Source organism: Homo sapiens, chromosome 4, assembly GCF_000001405.40.
Source record: "Homo sapiens chromosome 4, GRCh38.p14 Primary Assembly".
In the NCBI taxonomy this organism is placed as follows: Eukaryota; Metazoa; Chordata; class Mammalia; order Primates; family Hominidae; genus Homo; species Homo sapiens.
The window spans coordinates 176,166,157-176,183,536 of NC_000004.12; the positions used below are offsets into that span (position 1 = coordinate 176,166,157).

The following is a 17,380-nucleotide window of genomic DNA, read 5'->3' on the forward strand; positions in this document are numbered from 1 at the left end:
TTTATTTAAGAACACATTCCTTTAAAATGTATATACTCCTTTATTTTATTATTTGAATACTATCTCTGTATTAAGAAATATTTATCAACTATTTTCACATTATTTTATGGTATGCCAATTCACGTGTAATTTATAGCACATGAAACCTGACTACAAAGTAATGAGAAAAGTTCCTATAATCACTCATGATTTTATACTTAAAAGTTGTACAATAAATGAACTGTGATTTCCTGCAATACCAAATAATAGCTAACTCAGCTAAGCAGAATGAAATATCTCTTCTGATAGTGAAATTTTATATTTTAGATCATTCAATTGGTCTATATCATTTTTATATGTACATTTTTCCCCATTTGTGTACTGAACTCTCAAAAAAGAGTGAATTTGATTAACATTGAAGGAAATTAGCTGGCCTTGCTAAAATTTCACTGTATGAAGATGTAATTCTACATTAAGAAAGTCAAATTTTGTCTATAGTTCAATGAAGTTTGAATAGAATTTTAGCACAGCTATTTTATACACAGTAAAAACAAATGATAATTTCTATATTTTCATGGACGTTATTTAAAACTATGAAATTTTGATAAGAGGAAACACATGACATCATTCATGCATTTTAGCATGAACAGCTAAACTACTCTAACTTGGAACCTGCCCAATGTAATAGAAAATGTGGCAGTTTGGAAAGATATTATGTGTAATTTTTAATGGCTAGAGGAAAATAATATGAAAAATTATTGTAATCTTTTATCAATTCTCTTTTGACATTATCTAGAAAACTATTTATTAGTAAAATGATGAGTTATCAAAATATTTTATGTAAAAAACTTCACTAAAGTTTTTCTTATTCTAAAAACATTAAAGTAAGCCTAATTGAAAATGTTACTGTCCTGATAGTTTGTGACGTGTGTGTATTTTTTACTTTTAGTAAAACTTTGGATTTCACACCAGAGCTTGCCAATTGTCTTTATTCCTATTCTATATTCATTATATTCTTAATTAAGCACCTCTTAAGTTTTAAAAAAGAATTGATTTACTTAAATGACTAATGTAGATTTTACTGACGTTTTCACAAAGAAGATGAAGTGTAGGGTTTTACTCCCAGAGGCCCCAGCACACAGCTTTATAAATTCTTATGTGAAATATCTCCTATTCTAATGTCACCTCTTCTGTATGGCTATATATCAATTTTTTAAAAACAATATCTTGGCCGGGCGCGGTGGCTCACGCCTGTAATCCCAGCACTTTGGGAGGCCGAGGCGGGCGGATCACGAGGTCAGGAGATCGAGACCATCCTGGCTAACACGGTGAAACCCCGTCTCTACTAAAAATACAAAAAATTAGCCGGGCGAGGTGGCGGGCGCCTGTAGTCCCAGCTACTCGGGAGGCTGAGGCAGGAGAATGGCGTGAACCCCAGGGGGCGGAGCCTGCAGTGAGCCGAGATTGCGCCACTGCACTCCAGCCTGGGCGACAGCGAGACTCCGTCTCAAAAAAAAAAAAAAAAAAAAAAAAAAAACAATATCTTGAATTATTGAAAGTTAAGTGTTTTCTCAGTTATGATGTATGCATCCATTTACTCCTCACCTAGTGATTTGAAGAGGATTTTACAGAAAATATTTTAATATAAATCTTCTAAGTACATACCATTTTATATTTTTAAAACCCTCAGTTGCTTTAGTCCACTGATTGGATCTTTAATAAGTAAATAGGCCGGTCTCGGTGGCTCATGCCTGTAATCCCAACACTTCGGGAGGCCAAGGTGGGTGGATCACTTGAAGCCAGGAGTTTGAGATCAGCCTGGCCAACATGGTGAAACCCTGTCTCTACTAAAAATACAAAAATTGCCCGGGCATGGTGGCACGTGCCTGTAATCCCAGCTACTCAGGAGGCTGAGGCACAAAAATTGCTTGAACCCAGGAGGCAAAGGTTGCAGTGAGCTGAGATTGCACCACTGCACTCCAGCCTGGGCGACAGAGGGAATGAGACTATGCCTCAAAAGAAAAAAAAAGGGAAATAAGAAAACTATCTTTAATTTCCACTTATCATGTAAGAAATATGTGGGATACCCAAAATTATGAACTTAACTCAATATTCTACTGGTTTCACTGATCTGGCTGATACAATTTATCAATTTTGACAAGCATAACAAAAGTTGACGAGAGTTAACTTTCACAATGTTTGCTTTATAATTCACTCCAAAGAACATATTCAAAACTACTTAGATTAGAGAATTGTTCTGTAATGATAAAATTAATTATAAGTATGTTAAGACTCATGTATGTAAAGTTTAGTTTTTAATATTTAGGAATTTATAAATACATTTGTTGTTCATGACCTTTGGTTTGGGTAATCTGCATTTACAGTAGTTTCATAATTAAGTAGGCTATTAATACTGTTTGTGTAAATTAAAAAGCAAGAGTGGTATATTATATGAATTGCCCTTCTTTGAGATAGTTATGAATGTTATTTTTAAATCTTCTCCTCAATGAAGTGTCCCCTTTTGTTACGTTAACAGGAATTTGGCAGCTGATCTTCTTCTGATGATTCCTGATAATGAACTACATTTAATAAAACTCTGTGCTTTCTACCCAGGATGTACTGAAGAGATAAATGACCTTCATGATAAGGTATGCTGATGATGTTAAATATTCTGGTTTGGAATGCAGTGCTATGATTTAATTAATTGTAGGTTCAAGCAAATAGAGATGCATGCAGAGAAACAAATGTGTGGTCCCTTTGGGGTACCTACAAGTACAACAAAAGTGTTGTACAATAGGAAGTAACATTTACTGAACTGCTATGTGCTTGGCACTCTTCTAAATCTTTACATGTATTTGTATCTTCATTCTCATAAAACTTTGAAAAGCATGGGATAATTATACAAAGAAAACTCAGAGAAGGTAAGGAATTTGCCCAAATTAGTTAGCGGTGGAGTGAGAATTTCAACTTCAGCAAGTCTAACTCCAAATCCCAAGTGTTTTCCACTGTACACTTTGCATACTGAAGTATGTTGTAGGATAAATTTTTAAAATAGACAACTTAGAATCCTTAAAAGAATTAATGAAATATAATGAAATTTACATGCATTTTTCCAAAGTGCTTTAAAAATACTCATCTGCAGAATATAGGAATCTATGCATCAATATTATATACAAAAACAACCAAAATGTTCAATAGGAAGATTATTTATATTAAATTACAGTACTTTTCTATATTTCAGTGCTATTAATCCATTAAAAATCATGAAGCTCTATTTTTATTGGCATGATACATGGCTATGAAACAGTTAAATAGAAAGCAGATCACAAAACTATGCATATGCCATATGATTTTGGTTTGAAAATAAATGTGAATGTATGTATTTATTTATGTTTATAGCATATTTAGGAAGATACAGTTTCTTTTAAGAAAATGATAAGATATAAGTACAATATTTTCTCATCTTGAACTTCTAAAATAATGAAGTTTTTCACTTATTTGAACCGTGATTTTTTTATCCCTAGTGGGTGAGTATCCCTATTCATTAAGCAACAGATATTTTCTGAGTATTGTATTAATACAGATTGGCCAAAAGTGTGTGTGAATGACAACGTGTGGGTGGATATGTGTATGTGAATGTGTTTGTGTTGAGACGCGGAAAATACTTGTGAAAGGATAAATGTCCGAAATTACCAGTGGGTTGTGAGATGATGGGATATTTTAACTACTTTATACACCTTGTAGTCTGTGAATTATTTTTTTTAAAAGCTGTGCTTTGTTTTTTTAACATGACAACTAAAAGCTATTTTACATTGAAATTAAAATGCATATGAAAGAAAGTAGGAGTTTTTTAATTATACATTAACTGGTAGTGTTTGAATGTACACTAACAGCTATCCTCTGAGGCAGAAGGTGCAGATGTTAATATCAAGACTCAGAGAGGCTAAATGGCTTGTCTAAGCTTTAAGACTTAAACTAATGACCTCACTTATTATTTTCAGATTTTAAAGATATTTCCATAAATATATGCTCTTAATTCAAATAATTTTATTTATATCATTTAGGACAACTTTAATAAGAAAACCACACTAGTAATAGGAAAAATTTAGTATATGTACTATTTTTTTATTCCTATAAACTTTACTAACATTGTTGTCAAATCAATTATTTTTTCTTTTTTCTTTTTTTTTTTTTTTTGACATGGAATTTCACTCTTGTTGCCCAGGCTGGAGTGCAATGGCACGAGCTCAGATCAGTGCAACCTCTGCCTGCTGGGTTCAAGCGATTCTCCTGCCCCACCCTCCCAAGTAGCTGGGATTACAGGCATGCACCATCACACCCAGCTAATTTTGTATTCTTAGTAGAGACAGGGTTTCACCATGTTGGTCAGCCTAGTCTCAAACTCCTGACCTCAGGTGATCCACCCGCCTCAGCCTCCCAAAGTGTTGGCATTACAGGCATGAGCCACCACGCCTGGCCAAATCAATTATTTTCTAGTGCAAGCTACACACAGTAGAAGAATATAGGCAGTTAGCTAAGACCGCTTTTAATGATAGGGCTAGAATATTATTCACCTCGTCTTTTCATCACACATTCTAAAAGGATATAATTAGACTTTCTGTTCAGACTTCATTAATATCTTTTTAGAAAGACTAGTGAGTATGTGTAAAAGTGTTAATAACTGAACAATTTCACAAGTACAGATGCTCCTCGACTTACCATGGGGTTACAATGGGTAAATCTATCATAAGTCAAAAATATTCTACGTCAAAAATACGTTTAACACACCTGACCTACCAAACATCATAGCTTAACCTAGCCTTCCTTAAACGTGCTCAGAACACTTACATTAGGCTACAGTTGGACAAAGTCATCTAACACAAAGCCTATTTCATAATAATATCTCATGTAATTTAATGAATACTGTACAAAAAGTGAAAAACAGAATGGTGGTGTGGGTACTCACAGTACAGTTTCTACTGAATGCATGTTGCTTTTACACTACCATAAAGTCAAAACATAAGTTGGGGACTGTCTGTAACACTAAAAACTATATATTCACATATGAGGTACTTATATAACTTTTAGAATTTTAAAATAGGATAAAAATTACAAGGATGATCATCTTTTTCTTCTTCTTATAGTCTATTTAAAAACGATATTTAAATGGGAGTGATTTCTTATTTCCTCTATGCCATGAGCATATATCAAGGTGAAGAACCTATGTCTCTATCTAGCCAAGCACAGTACCTACCCTATAGTAGTTGCTTTGTAAATAACTGGCATTTCATGAATAAGGATGGGGAAACAATATCAAACGTTATATATATGAGAGCCCCGTTAATTCAGTTTGTTGTAATTTGTTTGAGAGAGAGATTGAGATGTAAAATGTTCATTTTACCTAATTTTTAAATAAGAAATTTGAAATGATTAAATGAATGTATTAATAAATAAATTGAAACAAACCATGAAACTATTTTATCCACATTGTTTAGCAACAAACTTGAACGTTTAAGCTTCAACAATTATAAACACATCAGAATTTGATATAAAAGGTAACTTAATGCTTAATACATTATAAGGAAGCAGACCAACTTACTTGAGAGAGGATCAGACTCTCAGTTTTAACAGAAAAAGATTTTTTTTTAATGAGGAATGTGGCTTTTTATTTTATAGTAATGAAATTTCATGGATGAAAAAATCTCCATTTCATGGCATTTCAAAATGTCAAAGCTAAAAACTTTTAGAGCTTCTACATTTTTTGTGTCTCTGAAATAAGGTTGCTTTGTTTCAAAAGCCAAGTGACGTTAAATTACAGCGTAGAGGACATGGAATAATGCACACCCTTTATGTTTGGTGCATTTAATGTCGTTTTTGCGCCGTTATGGTCAGTATATTTTTTCTAACATAATTAATTTCATCATTTGGGTGCTAAATGGCATTTTTGGGTACTAACTCCAGTATCACAATCAGGACAATTTACTTCTATTTCTTTTATTAGGTATTTGTGTGATGGAAAACTACTAACTCATTAACTAATATCCCCTCTTACTGTTTTTAGATCTTAAAGGTATTTCCATAAATATATTCTCTTAATTCAAATAATTTCATTTACATCTATTTTAGATAACTTTAATAAGAAAACCATACTAGGAAAGCTGAAAGTATTTTGTACTTACACTATTGCTTTTATCCGTTTGAATTTTAGTAACATTGTTTTCAAATCAATTATTTTCTAGTGTAAGCTACCCACAGTGGAAGAATGTATGCAGTTAGCTGAGACAGCCCGTGCAGATGACAATATATTTGAAACTGTAAAATATTACTTGTTAAGTCAAGAACCTGAAAAAGCCCTTCCTATTGGTATTAGCTTTGTTAAAGGTAAGTAATTAGTTGGTAGTAGAATTTTAAATATACTCATTTATTTGATCGTTGTTTTCATACTGATGATTGTTTTAATTCATTTTTGCATTGCTATAAAGAAATACCTGAGGCTGGGTAATTTATAAAGAAAGTAGATTTATTGGCTCATGGTTCTGCAGGCTGTACCGGAAGCATGGCACTGGTATCTGCTCAGCTTCAGGTGAGGCCTCAGGAAACTTTTAGTCATGGCAGAAGGTGGTGCAGGAGCAGGCATATCACTTGGTGAGAGCAGGGGCAGAGAGAAGGGATGAAGAGAGAGAGGAAGGGAGGTGCCACGCTCTTAAACACTCAGATCTCGTGTGGACTCAGAACAAGAATTCACTCATCACCAAGGGGATTGCACTAAGCCATTCATGAGGAATCCACCTCCATAATCCAAACACCTCCCTACTCCAACATTGGGGATTACATTTCAACATGAGCTCTAGAGAGAACGAACATCCAAACTATATCAATGATCAACTTAAAATCAAGAACTAGTCATCCTAAATTTAAAAAGGAGAGTGATGCTGATGTGAAATATGGCATCTCTTCTGATTTTATGGTATGGGGACCTGAGAGAGGATAAATAGGAAAATACTTGTGATCTAGAAAATAAAGAGGTAAGTAGGACTGACTGACAGAAAATTAATTATATAAGTTAAAAATGGATGAATAAATTTTGAGACTGTTATTTAATGAATCTTCCATCTGGTTTAATTTTTCCAGAATACATCAGTAGCTCAGACTGGACTTTGGATACCATATACCCTGTTCTTGACCTACTGAGCTATATTCGTACTGAAAAATTACTCTTGCATACGTGTACTGAGTGAGTATTTTTTCTGCAAAATATATAAGTGAATCTATTTGATAATTTTAAAGTGGCTCCATTGTTTTTGGTATTCAGATCGGGAAATAGGATTATCTTGGACAGGTAGCTACACTTGTAGAAATATTATATTTTTGTTTGTTATATATTTTTTTTCTTTGTTTTGAGATGAGGTCTTGCTCTGTCGCCCAGGCTGGAGTGCAGTGGCGTGATCTCAGCTCACTGCAAGCTCCGCCTCCTGGGTTCACACCATTCTCCTGCCTCAGCCTCCCGCGTAGCTGGTACTACAGGCGCCCGCCACCATGCCTGGCTAATTTTTGTATTTTTAGTAGAGACGGGGTTTTACCATGTTGGCCAGGATGGTCTCGATCTCCTGACCTCGTGATCCACCCACCTCGGCCTCCCAAAGTGCTGGGATTACAGGCATGAGCCACTGCGCCTGGCCGTTTGTTATGTTTTTAAGAAAAAAAATGTAGAGGTCAACTTGAAACAGAGTATTAAATATTAGTGGTCCCACTTAATAATATCTAGTATGTGTATGTTTATATATGTACACACACATGCACACCTGGTTTAAAGAAAGCAAGTTCAAAGCTTTTGGATCTCAAGTCCTTAAGAAACTCATGGTCATATTTGTTAATTATCCATTGTATGCAAAGCACCATACTGAGCTTGTGGGAAAGAAGTAAAATTGCTGGAAAGTACAAAATAGACATCATCCCTGGATTCAGGTACTATTAAAAGACATTATTATCTATATAACTAAAGCCCTCAGAGACTCTTGTATAATTTACAAGAGAGGCTTTGGGCTCTTTTTGTTTTAAAGCCTAAATGGAAAAAATGATGCAGCAGCCTGGGAGACTGGCTAACTCCCTCAGCAAGAATGCAGAAGACGTTCTTTACTGTGAGTCTACACGGTATTCCAGGACTCCCTCCACCTGACCAAAGGAGCTATTTAGGGATAAATTACATGAAGAAACAGCCAGGAAATACAGAACAACAAGCAGGCAACAGTGAAATACTATTTAAATATGCTTATTTTATAGTCTAATTGATGGTATAGCATAAATATCTGAATAGGAATTAAGAACTGGTGAATAATTTTCCTTAAGTTTAGAAAATTTTCTAAACATATATTGCTATAAATGTCACCTTTCAGAATATATAAAGTACATGAACTGTGTATCAGAGTAATGTTCTATGCCTCAAATTGTGGAATTTATAAAAATAAATATATTCTCTTTTAGAGCTCGAAATGAGTTGCTGATATTATGTGGTTACATTGGTGCATTACTGGCTATCAGAAGACAGTACCAAAGCATTGTTCCAGCACTTTATGAGTACACAAGGTAAAAAAGGTTTTTTCCTCCATCATGACATTAGAGCAATTTCTCTTGCTAAGATGGATAGTCTCTAAGTGGATTATACAAAGTATCAAATATATTATTACAAGTATCCATCTATTTACTCAGCGTGTGCTTTATAATAAAGCAGCACATAAATTAGGGATGCATTGGGCTGTAAATAATAATAATTTGAATACTAGCTTAAACTCCTAGGATTTATTGATCTTTCATGTCAAGACACTTGAGACAGGCTTTCTAAGGCTTTTACTGCCGTGCAGTGATTTCTTCAAGGACCTGATACTCCCTTCTTTCCACTATGACATTTTTTGGATTATTTCCTCTTGCTTGAGTATCCCATGGTTAGAAGATAGATGCTAGCCCTCCATGAATTACGACTACATTCTGAGTAGGAAAGAGGTAAGAGTGAAAGAGACCACAAAGGACTTTCTCCTGGCAAGACCATTTTATTCAGGAAGGAAAGTCCTCCTTAGGGTTTTATGCCCACATCTCACTAAAAGAAAATAGGAAACTGAATATTTTAGCTTTTCAATCTCTACAGCAGAAAAGGCAGAGTAAAGGGAGTTTGTAAGTAGCAGGTTACTATTTTAATATTTTATATTCAGGCATAACCTGTTAGCCATACTCCTACATTTTATAACAACTTGTTTAACTTCAGCCCTTGTACTTAAAACTTCTTATACTATAAAATAAAATTCACGGTGCCTTCCATAAAAACCTTCTTCCAAGTCTAGTAGTTAGCTAAATGGCTTAGTAGGTAACCATTTTAACAAATGCAGAGGGTCCGTGGTTAAGCAGTCTTTTATTTGTTTGTTTGTTTGTTTGTTTGTTTGTTTGTTTTTGAGATGGAGTCTCTCTCTGTCTCCCAGGCTGGAGTGCAGTGGCACAATCTCAGCCCACTGCAACCTCCGCCTCCCAAGTTCACACCATTCTCCTGCCTCAGCCTCCCGAGTAGCTGGGACTACAGGTGCCCGCCACCACGCCCGGCTAATTTTTTGTATTTTTCTAGTAGAGACGGGGTTTCACCATGTTAGCCAGGATGGTCTCGATCTCCTGACCTCGTGATCTGCCTGCCTCGGCCTCCCAAAGTGCTGGGATTACAGGCGTGAGCCACCATGCCCGGCCGGTTAAGCAGTTTTTCTGAGTTCATATGTGGCAGAGGATTCTAAGAGAAACAGGTTTTCTCATTCCTAACTTCTCCCTATTGCGTAGGTGAAGCACTAGCTGTCACCTAGTACAAATAAGGAATAATATGGAATTAATACTATCAGCATGCTCAGGGAAAAATCTCTTTCTACATAGGTAGCATAACCAAAATTGGAAAGCAACATTTAACAGTATTAAAAGATATTATAGGAGCAGTAGGATATATCACATAGATGTAAAATAATGTTTAATATGTTCAGCTATATATAATGATAAAAGTAAAGAGAAAAATTCTTAATTAAGCATTAAATTAATATCAAAAAGAAAAAGAACGGTTTTTATTTGCAAGGGCAGGAGAGACTTGAGAGAATGTGACTAAGTTTAGGGAATGTGTTAGCTTAGAAAGAGAAATTGATAATTTCCTAATATTAAAGAATGTATCGTCTCTGACAGTTCCATCTTTGTTGTCTTGCTGCTTATAATTATTTTCTTGACCCACTAAATATGTGAGTCCCCAAAGTTTCATTCTCTCGTCCTCTGCTTCCCTTTTTCCTCCTCTCCATCCCACTCTCCTCCCACGGCTCCACTCCCTCCCGTCTCCTTTCTATACGGTGTCCTTCAGAAACCTCACCACTTTTCAGCTTCACCTATCACCTCTATGGAGGTAACTCAGTGTCTTATATTCAGGCATAGCGTACTCTTCAAACTCCTATGTGTATATTCAGCAGCTTGCTAAACTCCAGCCTAAAGTCAGTATGCTCAGAATTCAAATCATCTTTCTTCTCAAATCTCCTTCTCCCGTGTTCTCTTTCTGTCATTCAAGATTAAATGATCAGGGTCATGGTTAAGTGTTCTCTCTCACTGTGGCTATTATTTAACATCACTTAACTTGTCCAACCATTCTTCATACATTATGCAGTTCATTTATTTATCCACTCACTCATTTACTCATCCACCCAATGTTTATTGAATAACTTTGACTTGCCAGGGACTGTGCTAAATATACAGGTGAGCATATATACGCATATACTAGAAAATATTCTATATGTATATTATATATAACGTATAATGTCTGTATACAGAAATATATAAATCTAAAATCACATTTAAAGTTTGTTTGCTTTTTCTGATATCTTAGTTTTTGGTATCAGATGTTAATTTCCTTTTCACACGTTCAGTCAGCTATTAAAACGTCGGGAGGTGTCAGTACCTTTAAAAATTGAATATCTTTCTGAGGAATTGGATGCATGGAGAGCTTGCACACAGTCCACCAACAGGTGAGCAAATATGATATAAAAATTGGAATGCAGAAGGTATTTGATGTTATAGACAAACTTGTTGGAAGTATGTGTGGTCTCATTAATTTTAGCAGAATAATGAATCTTGATTTGTTTGGCATATATGCAGTAATAATTTACAATACCGTACTTTTCTGCCATGTAGTCCTTTGTTTTACTATAAATTAAGTCTAAAGGGATTTGTCTCCATCAATAAAGGGGAACTAAATAATCATCAGGGATAATTTCTAATCTAAACATCAAAAATTCTGTGATTCGACAAAATGAAATTTTGATATCTGTTGAAAATATAGATCATTAGAAGACTCTCCGTATACACCCCCTTCTGATTCACAAAGAATGATTTATGCAACTTTATTAAAGAGACTAAAAGAAGAGTCACTGAAAGGAATTATTGGACCAGATTATGTGACTGGATCAAATCTTCCAAGTCATTCTGATATTCACATTTCTTGTCTTACGGGATTAAAAATCCAGGTAAAGCCTAACATCAGACATAACATGTGTATTTCACCATTTTACATGTTTACTTTTTGAAATATCTTAAAATAAGCCTAATTTGGATAAAAGTAGGTAATTTAGGACTGGGGTCCAGTAAGGAAATATTACCTCTAGTGCTTCCATAGTTAGTACAAGTGGCCTCTTTCTGCCTAAAATAAATTCAAATACAAGCATTGTACTGACTCTTACCACAGAAGCAATTCATGTAATATGTATACCTGCATGAAAGTTTAAACCAGGAGGTTTTGGTGAGCCGAGATCGAGCCATTGCACTCCAGCCTGGGCAACAAGAGTGAAACTCCGTCTCAAAAAAAAAAAAAAAAAAAAAAAAAAAAAAAAAAAAAAAAAAAAAAGATCCCACCTCCCAATAATATACACAGCTTATTGAGCAGATTCTTATGTATTTCTAATGTAATGTGAAAAGTCACATTTCTAATGCTTCCATGCTAGCCCAATGAAGAAGGCAGGTTTTGTCATAGCCACCCAAAATAAATGAAGTAGCTGGATACTGATGTAAACCTTAACTGTAGCTTAGCTTGCCACTGCAAGCTAGTTTAGTCTCAAAACATAACCAGTATCTTCCAAAAGACAGGACATATAGTTGTATACACCTTTATTATCCATTTATGCTCACAAATAGAGAACCAAGTCAGGAAATTAAATAACTTTTAGTAAAGAGCAAGAAACATTATGAAATATTTGGAGTATGTCATCATTGCCATTCTCTGCCCTTTGTATACCATTTCTAGTACGTGGTACCTTCAGGTTTCTTTCCTCCTTTTCTTAAGGTTTCTTTTCTCCATCTGACCTTGACCTAAAAGACACTATCTAACCTCTCTGTAGCCAAACCTGCATCCAGGAAAAGAGCTACTAATTATCTCATATACACTGAGGCCCACGTGACTGGTATAGATGGAGTACTGTTCTGCCAGGATATTTCTGTTTCAACAGAAAGTTGACGTGTTTGGGTTATAATTGTGAAATTTCTAGTGCCTACTAATAGGAGCTGTCTACTTTACATACTCCTATGATGAGCTTTCCATTATCTAGAAATAATTTGCTAACAACAAGTTGTATCATTTGAAATCAGACCCCAAACTCAACAGCTTTAGAACCTAATTAAGAAAACATAATTTGTATTGCATCTTGTGTTTTTGAAATTATGCTTTTCCTTATCAGAGCTAGGTAATATAGACTGAAAACATTTCACATTTAGTTCTTTATAACTACCCTGGCATATATCATAACTGATGCAACTAAATTATAAATAAGCAAGAAAATCACATGGCTAAACATATTTTAAACGATATATACAATATAGAACAATATTCATCATCTTCTGGAGAGCACATATAAAGTTTCTGGCTTAAATAATTTCCCCAGCTGTATCGACATAGGCTACATGAGTAAAATAGTGAAATATATTTAAGCCTATTACTAGACATATATGCTTTTATAGAATAGGTAAACTTTGTGGCAGTTACCAGATTAACAAAACATATTTGTCATTGGCATTACTATTGTATTTAAAGAATTTAAATTGTAAACAATTCTATTTTAACAGATATTAGGGTATAATGACATAATGTTAAGACATTTGAAAATGTTTCTATATTTGGGTCCAGCTCAAAAAAACTAATTTTCTCATAGTCTTCATTTTTTTATTAGCTTTGCCTAAATATTATGTTTTTTTTTATTGCAGTGATTCTCTTTCTGAAAGTTTAAAAATACTTTGCAAATTTATAATCTCATCTTCTCTTTCCTCAACTCTCACTGTGCAGGGCCCTGTGTTTTTCCTTGAAGACGGGAAATCTGCTATCTCCTTGAATGATGCTTTGATGTGGGCAAAGGTGAATCCATTCTCACCTTTAGGGACTGGAATACGACTCAATCCATTCTGATAGAAGATTTTTGTCCATGCTTGATTTTTTTTTTTAAAGAAAAACTTTCATGGGTTAGCATTACCTTAATCTTTGTTGCTCAAGTGCCAGAGGTTGGGAGAAGGATTGCAGGTTGGGAGAGGTGGGAAATAGCAGTGAATTTTAGTCATTAACTTCAAAATATATATATATATATAATTTAAAGGAAAAATAGGTGCCTCCTTTATAAACAGTAATAGCTACGTTTGGGAAGGAGGAAACATTTAAATTATAAAGGACTGAATAATCTAAAAAGCATATAAAAGTTTCACACAGCATAAAAGATACCAAAATATCATATGGTTGAAATATTGAAACATATTAAATTGTGCAACACCTAGAATAGTGCTAGACATACAGTAAGTACTTAATGGATATTTGAATGATTGAATATCTTGAAATGTTGAAATGTAAGGTGTGCACAGTGATCTTCAACTTAACAAACACTTACGTTCTCCTTTATAAAATGCATAGTAAACCACTAACGTTAGCTGTTTTAATAAAAGTTTTCAGTTATAAGTTTAGTAAATATTAATAAATGGATACACATTCAAAATACTTTTAAAAAAAAGAAAATGTTACCAGTTTTTTTATCTGAAGTTTAACTGTCCCATTGTAAAGGTGTAAGTTATATAGGCTTGAAAAAAATTGGCGGGTAAAAATCACAAAATGCAGTCGAATATATATATGAAAACTTGCATTAGGTGATAAAGTGACTATTTTAAGAGATTCAGCATGCATGGATATTAGTTTTGATTAATGTGTACAATAATTTACACAGTATACTCTAGTCAATTTATGTTAACTTTATTTAAAACACAATTTATTTGGCCGGGCACGGTGGCTCACACCTGTAATCTCAGCACTTTGGCAGGCCAAGGCAGGTGGATCACCTGAGGTCAGGAGTTCATGACCAGCCTGGCCAGCATGGTAAAACCCTGTCTCCACTAAAAATACAAAAATTAGCCAGGCATGGTGGCGGGCACCTGTAATCCCAGTTACTTGGGAAGCTGAGGCAGGAGAATCCCTTGAACCTGGGAGGCAGAGGTTCCAGTGAGCCAAGATCGCACCACTGCACTCCAGCCTGGGCAACAAAGAGCGAAACTCTGTCTCAAAAAACAAACCAACAAAAACCACAATTGATTTGATGAAAATTAGTTTTAAGTAAATGTTTGTAAATAGATATTGGTTGAATTTTTGGATATATTATGTTGATTTAACTTTTAAAATGTTGTTTAAAAGTGTGAAGCTATGAAAAGCCTGATAATGTGACTACAGATATTTCAGTTGGACTAGAATTCTGACTTTGAAACTTATTAAATTAATGCATACTGGAAGTACTTTGATACTCAAGTTGTTTCACAAGATTTATAATATAGATGGTTTTGTTTGACTAAAGAATAATCTCATATAACTAGAATACTTGTGGCTTTTATTATCTTTAAACTTGTTGCATTTAAAATATTTTTAAAACCTTCTTAACAAAACTTCTTAAAACTGGAAAAAATATATATTATGTATCTATGTATCATATTTATCACATGACCACTTTTGATTCCTTAAAAAGACATTACAGGCTTAAATTCCATTTTATTAAAAAAAAAAAATTGCCTGTAATCCCAGCACTTCAGGAGGCCGAGATGGGCAGATCTTGAGGTCGGTAGATGGAGACCATCCTGGCCAACATGGTGAAACCCTGTCTCTACTAAAAATACAAAAATTAGCTGGGTGTGGTGGTGTGTACCTGTAGTCCCAGCTACCCAGGAAGCTAAGGCAGGAGAATCGCTTGAATCCAGGAGGCGGAGGTTGCAGTGAGCTGAGATCGCACTACTGCACTCCAGCCTGGGCGACAGAGCAAGACCACCATCTCCAAAAATTATATATATAAAAATAATTAATATTATAGAAGAGAATATACACAACTCAGAGATGCAATGGATAATATAAAAAGAGTACCTGAGATGTATTTTTTTAAACTCTTAGAGATATCTGTAACTCAAATTTTTCTTAGGTGAGGAGGATTATTAACTGGCACATATGTACTAAAAACCCCTCACTTAAAAATGGCAGTCTCAATCCTACTGTCATTCTTTTTATTTTAAAATAAATAAATAAGCCTATCTTTTTGTGCTTACATACTTAAAAGGATATCATTAAGTATATAAACAATCATTACTTCTGTATTTTTAATGAATGCAGGAAAATAATATTTTTATGTATAAAAGATGAAGAAAAAATTTTGCAAGTCTTTAAGCACATAAATACAACAGAATAGCCACCCAATTTCTGTCTGAAATCTAAATTGGATGGATTTGACCATCATTCTATTATCTTTGATTTCTACAATGTCTATATCTTATTACCTATAACTATTAATTTTTCATAGAATTATAAATGTCATTTGACTATGTCAATCTGTATATATTGTACCTTAATATGAAAAACAAATTTTTTAATTCATAAAAGTATTTTTATTAGATTTCATATGCATGAAACCCAAGCAAATTATATGAATTTATTTTACTATTTGAAAATGTTCATATTACCAATAATGTGGACAAATTACTTTGCAGGTTTAAATATGCCTCTGTAAAGGAAGAGTCTCATTAGACAATGATTTTTAAAGCATTGGAAAAATATTTTGCCTGTAAAAGTTAGTAACTAGGTGGTTCACAAAATTACAACATCAAAATAGTTACATCTTGTGAAAATATATGATTTTTATGTCAATCAAGACAAATGAAATATATATGTATGTGTATATATATACATGTATGTATGAAATATATATATGTGCGTGTGTGTGTGTATATATATATATATATATATATATTTCTATGAAATTGTCCAGATGTGTTCAGGAACATGATTGCATTAGAGCAATGACTGTATTTTGTTGTCCTTATAACATTTATATTATTTCAGTTTTAAGTCAAAAGGTATTCTGAATATAATAAAAGCCTCACAAATTATTTGTAAAATTTAGTAGTTCATATTTAGTATATCAGTAATATAGAAGACATCTTTATAGTCAACTCTTAATTAATGCTTATTGTACCAAATCTTTGAGATATTTGTACATAAATGAAATATGTACTTTCATGCTAAAATTATATATCATGACTGTGCTATAATTTGGCATGTCATTATCTAGATTTATATGTATGTACGTATTTCAGGTCCTTGAAATTTTAATAAATATTACAGTTAAATCCTGATATGACATAGTTACCGGCTAAGATGAGTAGTTGTTTCTTTCCCGAGACACCATTGAAAGACAAGTGTTTCTCCATAAATGCTTGGATCAGAGTCATCAGAGGTGTGAAAGGGCTAAGCTGTCCAACTGAGTTGTTACCCTACTCAGTAACCTAGGAAAATCACTTCATTGAATTGTTCCAGAGGCTGATTCTTCACTATAGAAACACTGACTACAGTATACCCCAAAATTACTATAAAAATGGAGAAAGTGCTTACTCATTAATACAAATGCTATGTCATAGTAGCTTCTATTCCCATAAGCTACTCGGGAGGCTGAGGCAGGAGAATAGCGTGAACCCGGGAGGCGGAGCTTGCAGTGAGCTGAGATTGCGCCACTGCACTCCAGCCTGGGCAACAGAGCAAGACTAGGTCTCAAAAACCAAAAATAAAAACAAAACAAAACAAAAAAGAAAATGTTTTATTCCTATAGCAGCTGCTATAGCTCCTAGAAAATTTCATTGCTTCCTTCTGTCAAAGATTCTTTTTGAAGTAAATGGTCTAAGATATGCCTGTAGTGTTGGCTTCTGTTGCACAATTCATCCTCAAGAAACTCTTGAGGTTACCCACTTTGACCATCCTGTATCTTCATTTACATAATCACTATGTAATGAAGCCTACAGACTATTTCCTATTTTCCAGTCTCTATAGGTCCCTCAGGATTCTTGGGAACTTACCATAGTC

At 34.1% G+C, this 17,380-nt stretch overlaps 1 protein-coding gene across 12 annotated transcripts in view; it reads left to right on the forward strand.

The window, feature by feature from the left end:
• The window catches only part of WDR17 (WD repeat domain 17), a 116,975-nt gene extending 100,316 nt beyond the window's left edge, over positions 1-16,659 (forward strand). For 11 of the 12 annotated variants that reach the window (NM_001378103.1, XM_047449569.1, XM_047449570.1 and 8 more), the window contains 7 exons: positions 2,516-2,627; positions 6,219-6,360; positions 7,111-7,213; positions 8,461-8,562; positions 10,902-11,000; positions 11,315-11,498; positions 13,304-16,659. In NM_001378103.1, coding sequence (NP_001365032.1) covers positions 2,516-2,627; positions 6,219-6,360; positions 7,111-7,213; positions 8,461-8,562; positions 10,902-11,000; positions 11,315-11,498; positions 13,304-13,423 — 862 coding nt within the window. In that variant the 3' untranslated portion in view covers positions 13,424-16,659. Of the gene's footprint in view, positions 1-2,491; positions 2,628-6,218; positions 6,361-7,110; positions 7,214-8,460; positions 8,563-10,901; positions 11,001-11,314; positions 11,499-13,303 lie in introns of all 12 variants that reach the window. The other variant, NM_170710.5, reaches the window with a different exon arrangement.
• Positions 16,660-17,380: the final 721 nt, after the last annotated feature.